Consider the following 6,182-nt stretch of genomic DNA (forward strand, 5'->3'; position numbering starts at 1 on the left):
TGTGGGTCCTCGCAAAAGACTAAAAAAATTTATTCCTTCAACATCATAGATACTGACAGCAACATCTTATTCAATAAAAGATTTGCTTTTCCAACTCAGCCAGAACACCAGTTTCTTCTTCCTCAATTTAAACAAACTAAATAGGCTTGGTGATTAACCTAGGAGAACTGTTCCGTATAAGAATAGTGCCTTAGAACAACTAACAGGAGTGCCTTGTTGTATTAGCTCTGAGCAGAATTTCTATATTCCAAATAGTTATGAGATATGGTTGACTGATACAAAAACCACTATTTATCTGTGGTTCTCTTCTTTCTAAACTATACATCTCTGGACCCCATTTCACCCTCTTTGAATAGGAATTTCTGAAAGTAGATCCCAAGAATCTGTATTTTTAAAAGCACTCTAGGTGATTCTTGGATTCTTGTGTACATTAAAATTTGAGAGCTACTGAGTTAAGACTGTATATGTATACAGTCTTCATATTCCTCTTGGATTTCATAAAGTAATGAAATTTGTAACTTCTGTAGATATTGTAATCCTTATTTTCAAAAGAGGAAGCCAAATTCAGAATAATAGACAATTTGCCTAATCCCCAGTAACACAGCTGCCACATGACAGCAGTAACATTTGACCTAATTTTACTGATTTTTTTCTTGTGTTTTATGCACTGATAGAGGCTAAGTAACTTACCCAGGGTCACAGCTCTTAAGGGTATAGTAGGATTTGGGCCCAGGCAGTGTGGCTCCAGGCTGATAATCACTTCTGCCATGTTGCCCCAGAGTTAGTGGAGTTTATCTACCAACACAACAAAATAAGAAAAAGACAAACAAAATAGATAAAGCACAACAACTTAAAGAAGCAAATCACCAAAAAGTATATCTGACCATGAAACGCATGTAAATATATTCAGACTCATAAGCAAAGAAATGCTATATTAAACACTGAGCTACTACTTAATACCTATCAAGTTGACAAAAATTTTTGAAAGTTAAGTGCCCAGTCTTGGCCGTAATACTGAGAAATGGACCCTTGATTGCTGATGGGAAAGCAATCTGGTACCACCTTCTAGAAGGGCACTGTGGCAATGTCATCCAAAGTCTTAAAATGTGCCTACCCTTTGACCCTACGACTTCACTTCTAGGAATTTATACTGAAGAAAATGTCAAATGAGTGCAACGGTGTCTGTACAATCATACTCACTGCAATATTATATGATAGAAAAATAAAAATAATCTACATTTATAAAATTGAGCTAATAAAATCTATTAAGCTTAATAAAATAGTGTTGCAGAAAATGTTCTCGACATCAAAATATGGAGAGATGAATTTAACATATTGCCAAATTTAAAAATGTATAGAACATGCTGGGCGCGGTGGCTCACGCCTGTAATTCCAGCACTTTGGGAGGCCAAGGTTGGCGCATCACCTGAGGTCAGGAGTTCAAGACCAGCCTGGCCAACATGGTGAAACCTCGTCTCTACTAAAAAATACAAAAATTAGCAGGGCGTGGTGGCACACACCTGTAATCCCAGCTACTTGGGAGGCTGAGGCCAGAGAATCGTTTGAACCCCCGAGGCGGAGGTTGCAGTGAGCTGAGATGGCACCACTGCAATCCAGCCTGGGCAACAGAGTGAGACTCCGTCTCAAAAAAAAAAAAAAAAAAATGTGTAGAATAGGAAGCATGGTATGATAGCTCTTTCATAAAATAAATTTTAAAATGCCTAGAAAGATTAGATAGATAAATGAATGGATAAATATAGACATGCTAAAATAATAATAGTGGTGACTTCCAGGTACTAAGATTATGAATAGTTTTTCCCTTGTGCTTTTTGGTGTTTTCCAAATTTTTTCTGTTGAGCATGTTCTATAAATAGGGGGCCAACATTCGTTCTTAAGAAAAAGGGGGGAAGAAACCAGGAAGCATCTTTCCAGCCAAGGAATAGACAAAACACAGCATCAGATTGCTGGAGGGAAAGAGAACAGAACAGAACAAGCATGTAAATAAAGAGAGAAGGAGGAGTCCTTTCTCAGTAACAAGGGACAAACATTTGGCTTACTGCACACTCCTTTGATGAGAGGCTGTCTCTTTAGTAATGCAGCTGGCAAAAACTCTAAAAAAAACTTCGAAAGGGTGAGAATGAGATTTTTCATTCAAGAACTTGGCTGCCCCAACCCTGACTAGCACAGCACAAGAACAGGGCAGCATAAACACAGAAATGCAAGAAGAGATTTGAGCCAGGAGGAAAAGGAGGCAATTCTCATAACTATCTTTGAGCAAGAATTTGGTTCACCAGTGCCATAGTCAAGGAAGAATAGGAACTTGGTATCAGTACCCTACTGCAAATCATTAATAATGTATTATAGATAATTATGTGGAAGTTAACTGCAGAGTAAATTATATCAAGTTCTAATTCCACGGCATATGCTTCTTCAATCCCCCATGATCTTTCATGTTGCCTTCGGAGGTTAGGAATAGTGGCTCCTCTGCAAGTCTGGATGAGTTCTACCTGACATCACATCAACATTCTGGTGGCTGGATTCACAGACCTTCACAGAATGCTGCTTTAACAATGGAATGTTCTGGCCGGGTGCAGTGGCTCATGCCTGTAATCCCAGCACTTTGGGAGGCCGAGGCGGGTGGATCACGAGGTCAAGAGATCAAGACCATCCTGGCTAACACGGTGAAACCCCATCTCTACTAAAAATATGAAAAATTAGCTGGGCGTGGTGGCAGGCGCCTGTAGTCTCAGCTGCTCGGGAGGCTGAGGCAGGAGAATGACGTGAACCCAGGCGGCAGAGCTTGCAGTGAGCCGAGATTGAGCCACTGCACTCCAGCCTGGGGGACAGAGCAAGACTCTGCCTCAAAAAAAAAAAAAATGGAATTTTCTATCTCTGAGGGTTCTATAAGAAAAAAGATTCTGGCACAATGCCAGCACTCACTCATAAATTTTGTGTTTTGTTTGTTTGTTTTTGAGATGGAGTCTCACTGTGTCACCAAGGCTGGAGTGCAATGGTGCGATTCCAGCTCACCACAACCTCTGCTTTCCAGGTTCAAGCAATTCTCCTGTCTCAGCCTCCCGAGTAGCTGGGATTACAGGCACCCGCCACCACACCAGGCTAATTTTTGTATTTTCAGTAGAGACAGGGTTTCACCATGTTGGCCAGGCTGGTCTTGAACTCCTGACCTCAAGTGATCTGCCCGCCTTGGCTTCCCAAAGTGCTGGGATTACAAGTGTGAGATACCACACCTGACCTCCACTCATAAATTCTGTTGAATTTATATTGTAAGGCCTTTAAACAGGTGGTACTTTTGTCCTAATGGCTGGAGCTGAAGATTGGAGGTTGGAAGCAGGAGAGACAAAAAATAAAGTTTTGTAGTTATGACAGAACAACATCATCACCGTCCATTTCTACCACCAATTATGTTAAAATAATTAATGTTCCATTGCTAATTTCAACACCAAAGGAGGATAATTTGGGTGTCATATGGAGAGATAAGTCAGAACAGCGCTTTGACATCATTCACGAATGTAGAGGGGAAAAAATGCGTCACTGAAGAGGATTATTTTAGTTTGAAGAAACAGCATAGAAGTGATAAAAGAAGCCAGTGGAAGACTATTAGGTTATGAATAGCGGTCAGGTCTCTTTCCATGTTCACAATAGGATACAAGAGCAAATAATCTCAACTAAATGAAACAAGAACCTTCTGACTTGCAGGAGAGTTTGGCACCCAAGTGGTTTTCTGAAAATGGTGATGGAGCTCTTCCTCCCCTAGAGACATTTAAGAGCAGGAGGATGCCCAACCCACTGTCTGGGGTAGTGTGGAGGGGAAACCTCCCTAGTGACAAAGATATGTACTCTGTGACATTATATGCGGCTTTCTGGTCCTGTGTTTCTACAAACAATGGAGAGAGGTTTATTTTTGGATTCTTAGTTATTACCTATCTGTGTTGATAGGTGTAAGTTACAAACATCCATCACATATCTCTCCACCCTATGGCACATTTCTCTTCTTTACTTTTACGAAGTTATCTTACTACTAATGTACGGGAAAGAGAAGTTATCTAAGTAAGTTATCCCTAGCTACTGCTATATCAGAAACCACTCTTTCCCTTGACAGAATGCTAAGGACTGCTAACACCTGCATGCATCCTCAGCCGACCAGGAATATCTTCAACTGCCCAAACCCTGTCTTGGAAGCAGCTGCTGCTCCTGAAGACTGCTAGGGAGTAAAGGGAAAGAATAACATGGAGTGGGAAAACCATTTCTTAGTTTTTATAAAAATGAGGATGCATGTGTGTAAATATTCAAACTGGAAGAGACAGCACTTTTATAAGGTTGGGGTTGAAGACAAATTATGGAAACTAAGAATGAAATTAAACAGTGGGTCAGGAAAGAGGTAACAGATCTAAAAAACTAAAAATCAATTTGCTTCTTGCCACAAAATTACTTTCTCCCTCAAAACAATTTTTATCACCCTAATAATTTGCTGGGGTTTTAGCAGGATTGGTTGGTTGTTTTTATTTCTGGGACACATGTAGTCCTATGTATTTAAATGACTTTTTTTTTTTTGCCAAATGTGAAATGTGGCCAACATTAGCATTCTCACCTATGTCCTCAACAGACGCTCCTGGATTTGTCTTTCTTTAGGAGAACAAACATTTTTTGACATTTACAACAGCCCTCAGGATTCACTAAGAAATTATCTATCCACTCTTACAAATCATTTAGAAAGACAGCAGGCCAAAGAAAAACAAAGGACATCAACATAAAGGGGACACTATACACGTGATGCTCAATATCCACGAATAACAGTAAAAGAGTGAGGACTAAAAAATGAATAATATTCAATGTTGATCAAAGCGTGGAGAAGCATCTATTGTTTGTGGGAGTATAAACCAGTGCAATTTCTCATAAGAGAAATTTGATAGACCTATCAAAACTGTAAATGCACATACCCTTTGTCCCAGAAATCTCACTTCTGGATATTTATCTTGCAGATTTAATATGGCATAGATCCATATTCAGAGATATTCATTAAAGCAATATTTGAAATAGCAAAAAAATCTGGAAACAATTTAAGTATCCATCAAAAAGAGAGACTGATTATAGCAATCATGGTAACTTCACATCGTAAAGTATTATGTAGTTCCTTAAAAAGATCAGGAAACCAGTCATAAATATATTTTAATTACATTGTATTTCATAGTCATATACGGGAACTTATTTTAAAAGTCAAATGACATTAAGATTCTTAAAATGAAATATCATAATTCCCTGTTCTCCTCCCCAGTTCCCTGGTTCCTTCCCCAGAAACACTCTTGTCTCACTATCTTAGCTGTGATATCTTCTGGCATTTACTCATCACCTTATTTCTAAACCAGTACTGTTGTTTCTGGGACACATGTGATTTTATTTATTTAAATGAATTTTTTGGCAAATACAAAATATAGAAGTATAATACAAGCCACATATGTAATTTTAAATTTTCTGGTAGCCACATTTAAAATAATTAAAAGAAATAGGTCCAGGAATGGTGGCTCACGTCTGTAATCCCAGAACTTTGGGAGGCAGAGCCTAGCAGATCAGTCGAGGCCAGGAATTTGAGACCAGCCTGGCCATCATGGCGAAACCCCATCTCTACAGAAAATACAAAAATTAGCCAAGCGTGGTGGTGCACGCCTATAATCCCAGCTACTCAGGTGGCTGAGGCACAAGAATAGTTTGAACCCAGGAGGCAGAGATTACAGTGAGCCAAGATTGTGGCACTGTACTCCAGCCTGGGTGACAGAGTGAGTCTCTGTCTGAAAAAAAAAAAAGAAAAAAGAAATAGGTAAAATGAACTTTAATAAAATCTTTTATTCAATCTAATACATTCAAAATATATCATTGCAACATGTAATCAATATAAATATTCTTTTTTTTTTTTTTTTTTTTTTTTGAGACAAGGTTTCATTTTGCTGCCCAGGCTGGAGTGCAGTGGCATGAACATGTCTCACTGCAATCCTGGGCTCAAGCAATCCTCCAGCCTCAGCCTCCCATGCAGCTGAGACTATAGGCACATGCCACCAGGTCCTGCTATTTTTTTTTTATTTTTTGTAGGTACAGGATCTCACTTTGTTGCCCAGGATGGTCTCGAAATCTTGGGCTTAAGCAATCCTTCTGCCTCAGCCTGCCAAAGT

This window comes from Homo sapiens, chromosome 7 (assembly GCF_000001405.40).
Source record: "Homo sapiens chromosome 7, GRCh38.p14 Primary Assembly".
In the NCBI taxonomy this organism is placed as follows: domain Eukaryota; kingdom Metazoa; phylum Chordata; class Mammalia; order Primates; family Hominidae; genus Homo; species Homo sapiens.